The sequence below is a fragment of the Homo sapiens genome, chromosome 20, assembly GCF_000001405.40.
Source record: "Homo sapiens chromosome 20, GRCh38.p14 Primary Assembly".
Classification (NCBI taxonomy): Eukaryota; Metazoa; Chordata; class Mammalia; order Primates; family Hominidae; genus Homo; species Homo sapiens.
The window spans coordinates 63,719,997-63,735,581 of NC_000020.11; the positions used below are offsets into that span (position 1 = coordinate 63,719,997).

Genomic DNA, 15,585 nt, shown 5'->3' on the forward strand with positions numbered 1-15,585 from the left:
CTCCCAAAATGCTGGGATTACAGATGTGAGCCACTGTGCCCAGCCTCTTTTTTTAGTGTATTTAAGGTAATTGATTGAAAGTTTTTGTCTAGTCATTCAAATGTCTAGGCTTCCTCAGGAACAGTTTCTATTAATTTCTTTATTTTTAAAAAATTTTTTTTAATTTTCTTTTTTTTTTAGATGGAGTCTCACTCTATAGCCTAGGCTGGAGTGCAATGGCTTGATCTTGGCTCACTGCAACCTCTGCCTCCTGGGTTCAAGCGATTCTCCTGCTTCAGCCTCCTGAGTAGCTGGGACTATAGGTGCGTGCCACCACTCCTGGCTAATTTTTTGTATTTTCAGTAGAGACATGGTTTTGCCGTGTTAGCCAGGATGGTCTCGATCTCGTGACCTCATGATCCTCCTGCCTCGGCCTCCCAAAGTGCTGGAATTACAGGTGTGAGCCACCGCGCCCAGCCTATTTTTTATTTTTTGAGACAAAGTCTCCCTCTCTCACCCAGGCTGTAGTGCAGTGGCACAACCCTGGCACACTGCAGCCTTAACCGTCCAGGCTTAAGTGAGTCTCCCACCTTAGTCTCCTGAGTAGCTAGAACTACAAGCATGTGCCACCATGCCTGGCTGGTTGTGTTGTTACTGTTTTAGACACAGGGTCTTGCTACATTTCTCTGACTGGTCTTGAACTCCTGGGCTCAAGCAGTCATCCCACCTTGGCCTCCCAAGGTGTTGAGATTACAGGTGTGAGCCACCGCACCCGGCCTGTTAATTTCTTTATTTCCGGTGAATGGGCCACACTTTCTTGTTTCTTTGCATGCCTTGTAATTTTTTGTTGAAACCTGCACAATTTGAAGATGATAATGTGGTTACTTTGAAAATCAGATCCTCCGCCCTCTGCAGGGTTCATTGTTGCTGTTTGTTGTGGATTGTCGTTTCTCGTTTGTTTAGTTACTTTCCTGACCTTTTTAAATAAAGATTATATTCTGTCAGGGGTGCTTGTTTCTGTTCTTTTAGGTTAGTGGTTAGCTTGTGCTTTGAAAGAGATTTCTTTAAATATCTAGTGGCAAAAAGGATAAAGAGGCCGGGCGCAGTGGCTCACGCCTGTAATGCTAGGACTTTGGGAAGTGGAGGCGGGTGGATCACTTGAGGTCAGGAGTTTAAGATCAGCCTGGCCAGTATGGTGAAACCCTGTCTCTACTAAAAATACAAAAATTAACCGGGCATGGTGGCACCTGCCTGTAGTCCCAGCTACTGGGAAGACTGAGGCAGGAGAATCGCTTCAACCCAGGGGGCGGAGGTTGCAGTGAGCTGAGATTGCGCCATTGCACTCCAGCCTGGGCAACAGAGCGAGACTCTGTCTCAAATAAAAAAAAAAAAAAAAAGGATAAAGAGTGTCTTCCATCCTTTCCAGGTTGCCTCTGTACTGGGGCAAGTCCTTCAGTGTCCGCCAGGCTGTTCACGGCTTTTCCTCAGCCTTTACTTCTTGCTCCCATGGAGCCTAAGGATGAACCAGAGGTGAAAGTTGAGGGCCTCCTCAGGTGTTTCTGAGCCCCTGTCTAGCCCCAGCTGTGTGCATGGCCTTCTGGATTTCCAAGCATGAACAGGAGCTTTCCAAAGCCCTTAGACCTTCATGTAGCTCTTTTCCCAGCCTCTTCCTTCCTAGGCTTTTCTGTCAGCTCTTTGCCCATCTGTTGTTGTCCCTCCCCCACAACTTCAGGTAGTATCTACCTGTAAATGCCTTCAGGCCAGGCGCGGTGGCTCATACCTGTTATCCCAGCACTTTGGGAGGCCGAGGCGGGTGAATTGCTTGAGGTCAGGAGTTCGAGACCAGCCTGGCCAACATGGTGAAGCCCCGTCTCTAGTAAAAATACAAAAATTAGCTGGGCGTGGTGGGTGCCTGTAATCTCAGCTACTCGGGAGGCTGAAGCAGGAGAATTGCTTGAGCCTGGGAGGCGGAGGTTGCAGTGAGCTGAGATCGTGCCATTGCACTCCAGCCTGGGCGACAGAGTGAGACTCCATCTCGGGGAAAAAAAAAAAAAAAAAATGCCATCAACAGCACGACCCTGGAGGCTGCCCCAGCCCTGAGAGAGTTCGAGGGGGTGAAACAAAGGCAAGCCCTTCAGGGAGACACTAGAAAGATCCAAATGCATAAGCAGGATTCCTTGAGAAAAGGTCTGTATCATCCCTTCTGACACCAGCAAGCCACATCAGAAATACAGGTTGCCTTCCCCATGGCTACATGTGAGCTGGTAGTAGTGGCTGAGCAGAAATAGCCCAGCTGTCCTCCTGAAATTTAGCAGGGTCTTACTTCATTGAGCAGTCATCTGGTTCGTAGACACCAGAGTTACAGAAAAGTTTATTGGGAGGTTTTGACAGTTTAATAGAAAAAAGTTTATTGTGACAGTTTTGACAGCTGAATAGAAAAAAGTTTATTGTGACAGTTTTGACAGCAGAATAGTTGCTTTGCTGGAGAGACGGATCTTTGGAGCTGCCAACTCCATCATTTTGGTGATATCCAGCTCTGTTGCTGAATTTTTAGCTATGCTGTTTTAAGTTATTTTCTTAGTGGTTGCTCTAGAGATGACAATGTACATCTTTAACTTACCACAATGTACTTCAGATTATTACTAACTTAACACTTAAAGTACAGCATTTTTTTTTTTATGGAGTTTCACTCTGTCACCCAGGCTGGAGTGCAATGGTGTGATCTCGGCTCACTGCAACCTCCGCCTCCCAGGTTCACGCCATTCTCCTGCCTCAGCCTCCTGAGTAGCTGGGACTACAGGCACCCCCACCACACCCGGCTAATTTTGTATTTTTAGTAGAGATGAGGTTTCACCATGTTGGTCAGGCTGGTCTCGAACTGCTGACCTCAGGTGATCCGCCCATCTTGGCCTCCCAAAGTGCTGGGATTACAGGTGTGAGCGACTGCACTGAGCCTAAGTATGGCAACGTGTCTATAACATAGATCTACTTCCGTTGTACTATGACATAGTTCCCCCTCCATTTTCCTATAGCACAGTCCCAACCTCCCTTTTCCTCTGACATAGTTCCATCCTCCCTCCTCCTATGACGTCCTCCCTTCTCCTCTGGCATAGCTCCATCCTCCCTTCTCCTATGACACAGCTCCATCCTCCCTTCTCCTCTGACATAGCTCCATCCTCCCTTCTCCTATGACACAGCTCCATCCTCCCTTCTCCTCTGACATAGCTCCATCCTCCCTTCTCCTGTGTCATAGCTCCATCCTCCCTTCTCCTCTGACACAGCTCCATCCTCCCTTCTCCTCTGGCATAGCTCCATCCTCCCTTCTCCTATGACACAGCTCCATCCTCCCTTCTCCTATGACACAGCTCCATCCTCCCTTCTCCTATGACACAGCTCCATCCTCCCTTCTCCTATGACACAGCTCCATCCTCCCTTCTCCTATGACACAGCTCCATCCTCCCTTCTCCTCTGGCATAGCTCCATCCTCCCTTCTCCTCTGACATAGCTCCATCCTCCCTTCTCCTCTGACATAGCTCCATCCTCCCTTCTCCTCTGACATAGCTCCATCCTCCCTTCTCCTCTGACATAGCTCCATCCTCCCTTCTCCTCTGACATAGCTCCATCCTCCCTTCTCCTCTGACATAGTTCCATCCTCCCTTGTCCTCTGACATAGCTCCATCCTCCCTTCTCCTCTGACATAGCTCCATCCCCTCTTCTCCTTCATGTATTATTGCCATATATACATTTATGTATGTTATAACTTCAGCTCTTCAGCGTTATAATTATTGCTTCAAAAGTATTTTGAAAGAAGTTGCCTGGAGGCAGTGGCTTATGCCTTTAACTCCAGCACTTTTGGGGGCTGAGGTGGGCAGATCGCCTGAGCCAGGGAGTTGGAGACCAGCCTGGGCAACATGACGAAACCCATCTCCACCAAAATTACAAAAAATTAGTCTGGCATGGTGGCACGCGCCTGTAGTCCCAGCTATTTGGGGGAGGATCCCAGCTAAGGTGGGAGGATCACTTGAGCCTGGGAAGTCAAGGCTGCAGTGAGCTGAGATTGTGCCACTGCACTCCAGCCTGGGTGCAGATCTTATCTCAGAAGTAAAGGGACTAGGAATGGTGGCTTTTATCTCTAATCCCAGCACTTTGGGAGGCTGAGGTGAGTGGATCACCGGAGGTCAGGAGTTTAAGACCAGCCTGGCCAACATGGTGAAACCCCGTCTCTACTAAAAATACAAAAAGTAGCCGGGTGTGGTGGTGGGTGTCTGTAATCCCAGCTACTCGGGAGGCTGAGGCAAGAGAATCGCTTGAACCTGGGAAGCGGAGGTTGCAGTGAGCAAGATCGCACCACTGCATTACAGCCTAGATGACAGAGCGAGACTCTGCCTAAAAAAAAAAAAAAAAAGAAAAGAAAAGAAATTAAGATCTGGACACTGTGGTTCATGCCTGTAATCCCAAAGCCTTGGGAGGCCAAGGCAGGAGGATCACTTGAGGCCAGGAGTTCAACACCAGCCTGGGCAACATAGCGAGACTCCATCTCTATTTAAAAAAGAAAGAAATTCAAAGAGAAAAAAAGTATACTTGTTTTTTTGTATCATCCATATTTTACCTTTCTTTTTTTTGCCCCTTTTTCTTTCCTGTGAATTTGAGTTACTGTCTAGTGTCATTTCCTTTTAGTCTGAAGAACTTCATTTAGAATTTTTTTTTTTTTTTTTTGAGACAAAGTCTCACTGTGTTGCCCAGGCTGGAGTGCAATGGTGCAGTCTCAGATCACTGCAACCTCTGCCTCCCTGGTTAGAGTGATTTTCCTGCCTCAGCCTCCCAAGTAGCTGAGACTGCAGGCACCTGCCACCACCCCCAGCCAATTTTTTTGGTATTTTTAGTAGAGACAGGGTTTCACTATGTTGGCCAGGCTGGTCTCGAATTCATGACCTCATGATCTGCCTGTCCTGGCCTCCCAAAATGCTGGGATTACCATGAGCCACCACGCCCAGCCCATTTAGAATTTCTTTTTTTTTTTTTTTTTGAGATGGGGTCTCGCTCTTGTTTCCCAGGCTGGAGTGCAGTGGCACGATCTCGGCTCACTGCGAGCTCCGCCTCCCGGGTTCACGCCATTCTCCTGCCTCAGCCTCCCGAGTAGCTGGGATTACAGGCGCCTGCCACCACGCCCACCTAATTTTTTGTATTTTTAGGAGAGATGGGGTTTCACCGTGTTAGCCAGGATGGTCTTGATCTCCTGACCTCGTGATCCGCCCGCCTTGGCCTCCCAAAGTGCTGGGATTACAGGCGTGAGCCACCGCGCCCGGCTAGAATTTCTTGTAGGACAGGCTTGCTAGCAACCAATTCAGTGTTTATTTGGGAATGTCTTTATTTCAGCTTCATTTTTTGAAGGATAGTTTAGCTGGCTATAGAATTATTAATTGATCATTCTTTTCAGTGTTTAAAAGTGTCATCATGCTACCTTCTGGGTTCCATTGTTTCTGATGAGAAGTCATCTGTCAAATTGTCCCTTTGTACTTGAAGAATTATCTTTTTTTCTCTTGATGTTTTCAAGATTTTCTCTTTGTCTTTGGCCTTTAGTAGTTTGTGATGTATCTAGGTGTGGATCTCTTGGTGTGCATCGTATTTGGGCTTCAGTAAGCCTCTTAGATTCATAGATTAATGTTTTGTTTTGTTTTACCAAATTTGGAGAGTTTTTACTCATCATTTCAACAAATTTTTTTCCTGCCCCTCTCTCATCTCCTTTTGGGAGTACCACTGCATGTATGTTGGTGTGCGTTCTCTAAAGCTTTTTTTTTTTTTTTCCAACCTTTTTTCTCCTTATTCCTCAAACTGGATTATTTATTTATTTATTTATTTATTTTTTAATTTTTTGAGACGGAGTTTTGCTTTTGTTGCTGAGGCTGGAGTGCAGTGGCGCGATTTCGGCTCACTGCAACCTCCACCACCTTCGAGGTTCAAGCAATTCTCCTGCCTCAGCCTCCTGAGTAGTTGGGACTACCGGAGTGTGCCACCACCATGCCCAGCTAATTTTTGTATTTATAGTAGAGACGAGGTTTCACCATGTTGGCAAGGCTGGTGTTGAACTCCGGACCTCAGGTGAACCACCTGCCTCAGCCTCCCAAAGTACTAGGATTACAGTCGTGAGCCACTGCACCCGGCCAGGATAATTTTTAATGAATTTTTTTCTTCTGCCATCTCAAATCTGCCGTTGAGTACATCTAATTAATTTTTTTTTTTTGAGTCGGAGTCTCACTGTGTCGCCCAGGCTGGAGTGCAATGGCGCGATCTTGGCTCACTGCAACCTCCACCTCTCAGGTTCAAGTGATTCTCCTGCCTCACCCTCCCAAGTAGCTGAGATGATAGGCGCCCGCCACCACGCCCAGCTAATTTTTTTGTATTTTTAGTAGAGACAGGGTTTCACCATGTTGGCCAGGCTGGTCTTAAACCCCTGACCTCAGGTGATCCGCCCGCCTAGGCCTCTCAAAGTGCTGGGATTACAGGCATGAGCCCGGCCTTGAATTTTTTTTTAATAGGCTTTTTGTTTGTTTGTTTGTTTGTTTTTGAGATGGAGTCTTGCTCTGTCGCCCAGGCTGAAGTGCAATGGTGCAATCTCGGCTCACTGCAACCTCCGCCTCCCAGGCTCAAGCGATTCTTATGCCTCAGCCTCCCCAGTAGCTGGGACTGCAGGCACCCTCCACCACACCTGGCTAAATAATTTTTGTAGTTTTAGTAGAGACAGGATTTCACCATGTTGGCCAGGCTGGTCTTGAACTCCTGACTTCAGGTGATCTGCCCACCTCGGCCTCCCAAAGTCCAGGGATTACAGGCATGAGCCACTGCTCCTGACCATGGCTTTAGTTTTTAGAGTAGTTTTAGGTTCACAACAAAATTGGGTGGAGGATACAGAGATTTCACATATACTCCAGACCCCCACACATGCAACAGCCCCTCCCCACAACACCATCATGCTCCCTCACCAGACTGGTACGTTTATTACAATCCATAAACCTACACAGACCCATCATTGTCACCCAAGGTCCATAGTTTACATTAGGGCTAACTCTTGGTGGTGTACATTCTATGGACTTTGACACATGTATAATGACAGGCATCTACTATTGTGGTATCAGACAGAGAAGCTTCACAACCTCATTCTCTGTACTTTACCTGTTCATCCTGCCCTCCCCACTACATTCACTAAAAATGTCCTTTCAGTGATTGTCCTTTTTAACTCTGGAATTTCCATTTGATTTTTTTTTTTCTTTTTTTCTTTTTTTTTTTAGACAGAGTCTGCCTCTGTTGCCCAGGCTGGAGTGCAGTGGTGCCATCTCGGCTCACTGCAACCCTCTGCCTTCTGGGTTCAAGCAGTTCTCCTGTTTTAGCCTCCCAAGTAGCAGGGAGTACAGGCTCATGACACCACGCCTGGCTAATTTTTGTATTTTTAGTAGAGACGGGGTTTCTCAATATTGGTCAGGCTGGTTTTGAACGTTTGACCTCAGGTGAGGCACATGGTGAAACCCCATCTCTACTAAAAATATAAAAGTTAGCTGGGCGTAGTAGCTCACACCTGTAGTCCCAGCTACTCCAGAGACTGAGGCCTGAGAATTGCTTGAACTTGGGAGGTGGAGGTGCATTGAGCTGAGATCATGCCACTGCACTCCAGCCTGGGTGAGAGAGTGGGACTCGGTCTCAAAAAAAAAAAAAAAAAAAAAGGATTCTCTATTTCCTGAATCATTGCCATCATATTTTCATTTAATTATTTGAACATACTTATAGTAGCTGCTTTGAAGTCTTTGCTAAACTCAACATCTGGGCCCACTCAGAGTCAGATTATATCAACTGCTTTTTTTCCTAAATATGGATCATGGTTTCCTGTTTACCTGTCTTATAATTTTTTTTGTTGAATACTGGACATTTCAGATGATCTATGTCTGGATTCTGAGTTGTTTTCCTGAGTCTTGTGTTCTGTTTGTTTTAGTTAAGTTGTTTGGACTTAAACTGCAAAACTTGCCCACCCACCCCTGCAGCCTCTGATATCTCTGCTCAGATTTTTAAATTCTTTTTTTTTTTTTTTTGAGATGGAGTCTTGCTGTATTGCCTAGGCTGGAGTGCCAGTGGTGCCATCTCAGCTCACTGCAACCTCCACCTCCTGAGTTCAAGCAATTCTCCTGCCTCAGCCTCCCAAGTAGCTGGGATTACAGATGTGTGCCACCATGCCTGGCTAATTTTTTGTTTTTTTAGTGGAGATGAGGTTTAACCGTGTTAGCCAGGATGGTCTCGATCTCCTGACCTTGTGATCCGCCCACCTCGGCCTCTCAAAGTGCTCGGATTACAGGTGTGAGCCACCACGCACGGCCTTAAATTCTATTTTTTAGTCTGGCTTCCTAGCAGTTGCTTCTGTGTTTGCATATGGTAGTGGTCAGCCAGGGATTTGGGCAAGAGGGTGTGCTCAAACACTCCTAACCCAAAAGGCTCCCCACCACACCATGTGGTTTCAGAGCACGTTGTGAGTTCAGCCAGCCCCTCTCTCTTTGCTTTCACTTCACCCTGGCCTCTCTTGGAGCTCCCAACACCTGCAGTGGTTTCCTCAAGAGCCAGGCCCTTCCTGGGAGAGCTGAGCCCTTCTGTGGCTCTCATTTTCAGAGTCTTCCTGTTAAGTATCTGGCTGGCCCAGTGCTCACTCCAGCTGGGATCACAGCCCCAAATGATCAGGGCTGTCAGTTTTCTTTGTAAGTGTTTATCGAGTCACCACTTTTAACTACGAGGCCTGGGTTTTCCCTTCTGTCCCACATCCACCTCTGCTGCTGCTGGTTTTTGCAGCCAGCCTTGACCTGGTAAATCACTCAGATTTGCTGACTCAGGAGTAGGAGCCAGGGGCAGCCCCAGGTGCAAAGGCTGTAGACTTCCCAGTATTCTGGCCCAAGGCCCAACATTTTTCAAGAAGAATCTCTTCTCAGTGAGTTCTCAGCTTTGGTCAGTTTCCAGAACTCTGAAAAGTTCTAAATCAGTGAGTTTTGATAATTTTGTCTAGTTTTAGATTATTTTTTCTTTTTTTCTTTTTTTTTTTTTTTGAGATGGAGTCTCACTTCGTCACCCAGGCTGAAGTGCAGTGGTGCGATCTTGGCTCACTGCAACCTCTGCCTTTTGGGTTCAAGCGATTCTCCTGCCTCGGCCTCCCGAGTAGCATAATTATAGGCGCACGCCATCACACCGGCTCATTTTTAAATTTTTGGTAGAGGTGGGGTTTCACCACGTTGGCCAGGCTGGTCTCAAACTCCTGACCTCAAGTGATCCGCCTACCTCAGCCTCCCAAAGTGCTGGGATTACAGGCGTGAGCCACCGCTCCCGGCCCATATTCGATTCAACGACCTCTCTACTTGAGTGTGGCTGGAACTCAGAAGCTTCTTTTAGTTTTAGATGTTGTTTGTTTTCAGGGTTAAGTCTTTACTAATTCTGGAATGTATTTCTGTCAATGCTGTGAGGTAGGTGATTGGGTTGGGATCTTTTATGTATGAAAACCCAGTTTTTAATTTTCTCTTGTGAAATCCATCGTCTTTCTCCTTGCACCCCATCTGTGATGCTTCCTCTGCCACACGAGGCTTTCTGTGTGAGGGGGGGCTCTTCCTGGAGGCTCTCTTTTGCTCCATTGATCGATTTGCCTGTTCTCTTGGTTTTCAGTTAACTTCATGGATATGCCATTAACTTCTCTCCATGGTTAGAAATTTAGGTTATTTCCAAGTTTTTCATATTTGGTTAATATCTTTGTGGCCAAATCTTTACATACATTCTCCTTAAAAATCATGTCACTGAGGCGGAAGGATTACATGAGCCCAGGAGTTCAAGACCAGCCTGGCCAACATGACAAGACCTTGGCTCAACAAAAAGATTCAAAAATTAGCTGGCATGGTGGCACACTCCCATAGTCCCAGCCACTTGGGAGGCTGAGGCAAGAGGATTGCTTGAGCCCAGGAGGTCAAGGTTGCAGTGAGCTGTGATCCTACCATGCACTTCAGCCTGGGCAAGAGAGCAAGACTCTACTGCGCACACACACACACACACACACACACACAAAATAATAGAAGCACTTTCTGGGTTAAAGAGTTTACAAATTTCAAGGCTTTTAATATTGTCAAATATTCTAGAAGAGGTTTTACTAATGATGGTGTGGGTGTGCTGAAGGGGCGTATTTAATCGAATTCACTCTGGGTTTAACCCTCTCTTTTTGAACATGTTCTCAGTCTCCTTTCAGCCAGTCTCTGCTGCAGTGCATTTGAGGCACAGTCCTGTAGCCCCTGGCGCCCCCGGTCATTGGCAGGGCCCTGTGTGCCTAAGAACAGTAGGCACTAGAAGGAACCGCCCAAAATCCTGGCCTGGGGAGGTGTACGAGGCCACCTTTGTCTACGCATGAGACAAAATCCCTGTTCCACCTCACTCTGCTCCACCCACCCGTTCCTACTGGAAAGACAGCCTTGGCTCCATGTCACGGGCTGAAGGCCTGTCCTCAGTTGCTCCTTTTTTGTTTTTTTGAGACAGTCTCACTCTGTCTTCCAGGCTGGAGTGCAGTGACACAATCTCTGCTCACTGCAACCTCCGCCTCCCGGGTTCAAGCGATTCTTGTGCCTCAGCCTCCCGAGTAGGTGGGACTATAGGCACGCGCCACCACACCCGGCTAATTTTTGTATTTTTAGTAGAGACGGGTTTCTCCATGTTGGCCAAGCTAGTCTCGAACTCCTGACCTCGTGATCCACCCGTCTCGGCCTCCCAAAGTGCTGGGATTACAGGCGTGAGCCGCTGCACCTGGCCCCTCAGTTGCTTTTGTGGGGTTGAAAGAACTTCCTTTTTGAAACGATGGCATGGCAGCAGTGGATGGCGGTTGGTTTTTCATGTCTTTATTTGGCAAAGTTGAAGATTGCAGTTCTGTCTGTCCCCACATTTCCTCTTCATTCTCTCTCTCTCTCTCTCTCTCTCTCTCTCTCTCTCTCTCTCTCTCTCTGTGTGTGTGTGTGTGTGTGTCTCGGTTTTGGTTTTAATTTTACTGGTTCACTGATGCCTAAAAGTCAAGGCATCACTATTTCATAAGCAGGTTCTCCTAGTTTGGGGGAGGACTCAGTCATGCACATACACACCCCCAGCACATCTGCCTTGATGCACTGGTGCTGTGGCCTGTGCAGTAGTGAGGCTGTGGGAGCTGCTGTCAGAAGGCTGCTGCCACACTGTGACTCCAGCAGAGGCGATGGGACACACGGGGCATATTCTGGAGCAGCCAAGTCCATCCCGAGAGAGAATGCGGGTGTCTGTGTGTGTGATGTGTGTGAGACTGTGTGTGTGTGTGCATGTGCATACATGTGTAAAGTGTACAGTTGGCCCTTGTGTGTGTGAGATTGTGTATGTGCATACGTGTGTAAAGTGTACAGTTGGCCCTTGGTGTGTGTGTATGTGTGCATGTGCATACGTGTGTAAAGTGTACAGTTGGTCCTTGGTGTGTATGTGTGCATGTGCATACGTGTGTAAAGTGTACAATTGGCCCTTGGTGTGTGTGTGATTGTGTGCATACGTGTGTAAAGTGTACAGTTGGCCCTTGGTGTGTGTATGTGTGCATGTGCATACATGTGTAAAGTGTACAGTTGGCCCTTGGTGTGTGTGTGATTGTGCATATGTGTGTAAAGTGTACAGTTGGCCCTGTGTGTGATTGTGTGTGCATATGTGTGTAAAGTACAGTTGGCCCTTTGTGTGTGTGAGATTGTGTGTGCATACGTGTGTAAAGTGTACAGTTGGCCCTTGGTATCTGCAGGTTCCATATCCATCATTTCAACCAATCTCGAGTTGAAAATAATTGGGGAAGAAAAGGATGGCTGCGTCTGTACACTGTATAACAACTATTTACATAGCATTTACATCGTATTAGGTACTGCAAGTAATCTAGGGATGATTTAAAGTACGTGGGAAGATGTGCGTAGGTTATATGCAAACACTATGTCATTATATATAAGGGACTTGAGCATCCTTGGATTTTGGTTTGCACAGGGGGTTTCCCATGGATACCAAGAGACTACGTGTGTATGCAAGTGTGAGTGTGTATATGCATGTGTGTATATGCATGCCATGTGTGTGCATGTATGTGTATATGCATATATGAGTGAGTGCACGTGACAGTCTACACGTGAGGGTGCATGTGTGTGCGCGTGTGGGTGACTGCATATGTGTGTGCATGTGTGGGTGCGGGTGCATCTGTGTGTGCATGTTTGGGTGCGGGTGCATGTGTGCGTGCACGTGTGTGTGGATGAGAGGTCGCATGTGTGTGGGTGAGGGCGTGTGTGTGTGCATGTGTGTGGGTGAGGGGGCATGTGTGTGCACGTGTGTGGGTGAGGTGTGTGTGTGCATGTGTCAGGGTGTGTGTGCGCGCATGTGTGTGGGTGAGGGCCTGTGTGTGCGTGTGTGTGGGTGAGAGATGTGTGCGCATGTGTGTAGGTAAGGGTGCTTGTGTGCGCATGTGTGTGGGTGAGGGCGTATGTGTGTGGGTGAGGGCACGTGTGCGCGCGTGTGGGTGAGATGGCGTGTGCGTATATCCATGTATGACTGCATCTGTATTTGCATGAGTTCATGTGTGAGTGCATGTTTATACGCGTGTCAGGGTCTCTGTGTATGTGTATGACGTGTGAGTACATGTGTTAATGTGTGTGTACATGTGTATATGCCTGTGTGCATGTGTGTATGCATGTGTATACATGTGTACTTGTGTATGTGTATATGTGTATGTCTGTATATGTGTGTGTATGCCTGTGTACGTATGTATATGCGTGTGTGTATGCATGTGAGTGCATGTTTATGCGTGTGTATGTGTACTTGTGTGTGCCTGTGTGAGTGCATGTGTGTGTACATGTGTATATGCGCGTGTGCGTATGCGTGTATGTGTACGTGTGTATATGCATGTGTGTGTATATGCCTGCATGTATATGCACAAGTGTGTATATATGTGTATGTGTGAGTGTATGTGTGCATGTGTATCTGTATGTGCGTGTGTATATGTGCATGTGTGTATGTGTGCGTGAGTGTGTGCATGTGTGTGTGTATGTGTGCGTGTGTATGTGTGTGCGTGAGTGTGTGAGAGTGTGTATGTATACGCACGCGTGTGTGTCTGTCTCCCTCAGGACAGTGCCCAGGCGGATGGGTCAGTGCTCCTGGGTTGGTTTGCCCCTGGTGGCCCATGTCTGAGCCCTGCCCCTTACGGCTCTGTCTGCAGGTTCTCCCATGGGCAGGTGGTCTCTCTGGATGAGCTGCGCCCCTTCCAGGACCCAGACCTGAGCTCCCTGCAGGCCGGCTCTGCGTGTCTGGCCAAGCACCAGGATGGCCTCTGGCACGCAGCACGCATCACCGGTGAGGCTGGCCGTGGGGGCCTCCCGGGAACACCCTCCCAGGCCCCACGTGTGTTGTCACTGTGTGGCTGCTCCCTGCTTCCTTTGGGTTGAGTGTCGGGACTCTGGCTCTGGGCCCGAAATGAGCACACCTACCCTCAGCCTCTGCCCTGCCTTGCTCCTCATGTCCAGGGTGGTTCCCTTCAGTGGCACCTGCTGTCAAGGATTCTGACCTGCAGCTTGTCTCTGCCCCCAGATGTGGACAACGGCTACTACACAGTCAAGTTTGACTCGCTGCTGCTGAGGGAGGCCGTGGTGGAGGGGGACGGCATCCTGCCCCCACTGCGCACAGAGGCCACAGAGTCCGACTCAGACAGCGACGGTACGGGTGACTCCAGCTATGCCAGAGGTATGGCAGCAGCTGCGGAGCCCAGGAGCCAGGAAGGTGGGGTCACCCTGAGAGGCTCCTGGCCGGTGAGGGCACCAACCATCTAACCAAACTATTGGAGAGTGTGTGACTGCGGCGAGGGTGCCACCTGTGCCTGAGGAGGCCGTGTGGGTAGGGGTAGATCCGTGGCGGCCTTTATCTTCAAGGAGTGTGGGTGCAACAGCTACAGTCTCATTGATGGGAGGCCATGGTCGTGGCTGTGGCCATGGGAGAGGAGGGGCCTGGAGTTGCCGAGGAAGTCACAGAAAATGACCAACTGATGGGGCCTGGAGTGCAGGAGGGGCAGCTCCTCTGCATGGCTTCTCAGACTTGGGACCTGGGTGCCTGGGATCCTGGCAGACAGAGGTTGTGTCCAGACAGCCAGCATGGAAGTTTCGGGAATGGGAACTGGTGGGCAGTGTCCAGCTCTCCAGAGGGGTGTGTGTATGCGTGTGCGTGTGTGTGTATATATGTGGGAGGTCACCTGACCCAAGCATGGCGGGCTGAGTCCAGGAGGGGTCTGCATGTTGGAGGTGTACCCAGGGATCAGTGATGGTGGTTTCTGAAGCCCCATGTCCCTGGTGAAGGAGGACTGAACCAAGGACTCTGTGAGGGCAGGTGAGGCGCTCACAGCCTCGCGAAGGTGGAGAAGGGCAGGGGCAGGAGAGGGCTGCGGAGGAGGGGCCACGGTGCAGCAGGCCGTGGGGACTGCCATGCACTCTGCCTGGTGTCACATGCCCACAGCAGCCTCGGTGACGAGAGCACGGAGCCCAAGAGGTGGGGTGTCGTGGCTCTGCCCAGGATCTGAGCTCATTGGTCAAAGCCCGGGTCACCATGCACAATCCTCTGGCCTGGCTGGGCCACTGCCCTCTGTCCATCTCTTGCAGTGGTGGGGTCGGACGCCGTGGACTCTGCACAGTCCTCTGCCCTCTGTCCGTCTCTTGCAGTGGTGGGGTCAGATGCTGTGGACTCTGGGACCTGCAGCTCTGCCTTTGCTGGCTGGGAGGTGCACACGCGAGGTATAGGCTCCAGACTCCTCACCAAGATGGGCTATGAGTTTGGCAAGGGTGAGTACAAGCTGCCCTGGAGAAGTGGGCAGGCTGCTGCAGCATAGCCCAGGTCCAGCAGCCATCAGGTTCCCGGGGTCCCGCAGCCATCGGGTTCCCAGGGTCCCGCAGCCACAGCACTGCCATCCCCGTGCTCCTCAGATTCCCGGGGTCCCGCGGCCACAGCACTGCCATCCCCGTGCTCCTCAGATTCCCAGGGTCCTACGGCCACAGCACTGCCATCTCCGTGCTCCTCAGATTCCCGGGGTCCCGTGGCCACAGCACTGCCATCCCCGTGCTCCTCAGATTCCCGGGGTCCCGCAGCCACAGCACTGCCATCCCCGTGCCTCCGCAGGTTTGGGCCGACACGCGGAAGGCCGGGTGGAGCCCATCCATGCTGTGGTGTTGCCTCGAGGGAAGTCGCTGGACCAGTGTGTGGAGACCCTGCAGAAGCAGACCAGGGTTGGCAAGGCTGGCACCAACAAGCCCCCCAGGTGCCGGGGAAGAGGGGCCAGGCCTGGGGGCCGCCCAGCTCCTCGGAATGTGTTTGACTTCCTCAATGAAAAGCTGCAAGGTCAGGCTCCTGGGGCCCTAGAAGCCGGGGCGGCCCCAGCGGGGAGGAGGAGCAAGGACATGTACCATGCCAGCAAGAGTGCCAAGCGGGCCCTGAGCCTGCGGCTCTTCCAGACTGAGGAGAAGATCGAGCGAACCCAGCGGGACATCAGGAGCATCCAGGAGGCTCTCGCCCGCAACGCTGGCCGGTACGTGTGGGGCCCAG

The 15,585-nt window shown here is 49.8% G+C and overlaps 1 protein-coding gene across 5 annotated transcripts in view, besides 5 other annotated features; it reads left to right on the forward strand.

The window, feature by feature from the left end:
* The window catches only part of ZGPAT (zinc finger CCCH-type and G-patch domain containing), a 28,701-nt gene that overhangs the window by 12,555 nt on the left and 561 nt on the right, over positions 1-15,585 (forward strand). For 3 of the 5 annotated variants that reach the window (NM_001083113.2, NM_001195653.2, NM_181485.3), the window contains exons 3-6: positions 13,223-13,356; positions 13,591-13,743; positions 14,709-14,828; positions 15,163-15,568. In NM_001083113.2, the coding sequence (NP_001076582.1) occupies positions 13,223-13,356; positions 13,591-13,743; positions 14,709-14,828; positions 15,163-15,568 (813 nt within the window). Of the gene's footprint in view, positions 1-13,222; positions 13,357-13,590; positions 13,744-14,648; positions 14,829-15,162; positions 15,569-15,585 lie in introns of all 5 variants that reach the window. The other 2 variants (NM_032527.5, NM_001195654.2) reach the window with 2 other exon arrangements.
* Positions 8,458-8,777: an enhancer, noted in NCBI's record as "active region_18249". NCBI's record gives its function as "activates an Ori minimal core promoter by ATAC-STARR-seq in GM12878 lymphoblastoid cells {active_cell/tissue: GM12878}" and the evidence as "EXISTENCE:reporter gene assay evidence [ECO:0000049][PMID:35858748]".
* Positions 8,458-9,112: a biological region, named in NCBI's record as "H3K27ac hESC enhancer GRCh37_chr20:62359961-62360460".
* Positions 8,613-9,112: an enhancer, noted in NCBI's record as "H3K27ac hESC enhancer chr20:62359961-62360460 (GRCh37/hg19 assembly coordinates)". NCBI's record gives its function as "activates a minimal SCP1, AML or CMV promoter by ChIP-STARR-seq in primed H9 embryonic stem cells {active_cell/tissue: H9 hESC(primed)}" and the evidence as "EXISTENCE:reporter gene assay evidence [ECO:0000049][PMID:30033119]".
* Positions 11,810-12,353: an enhancer, noted in NCBI's record as "H3K27ac-H3K4me1 hESC enhancer chr20:62363158-62363701 (GRCh37/hg19 assembly coordinates)". NCBI's record gives its function as "activates a minimal SCP1, AML or CMV promoter by ChIP-STARR-seq in naive and primed H9 embryonic stem cells {active_cell/tissue: H9 hESC(naive and primed)}" and the evidence as "EXISTENCE:reporter gene assay evidence [ECO:0000049][PMID:30033119]".
* Positions 12,354-12,896: an enhancer, noted in NCBI's record as "H3K27ac-H3K4me1 hESC enhancer chr20:62363702-62364244 (GRCh37/hg19 assembly coordinates)". NCBI's record gives its function as "activates a minimal SCP1, AML or CMV promoter by ChIP-STARR-seq in naive and primed H9 embryonic stem cells {active_cell/tissue: H9 hESC(naive and primed)}" and the evidence as "EXISTENCE:reporter gene assay evidence [ECO:0000049][PMID:30033119]".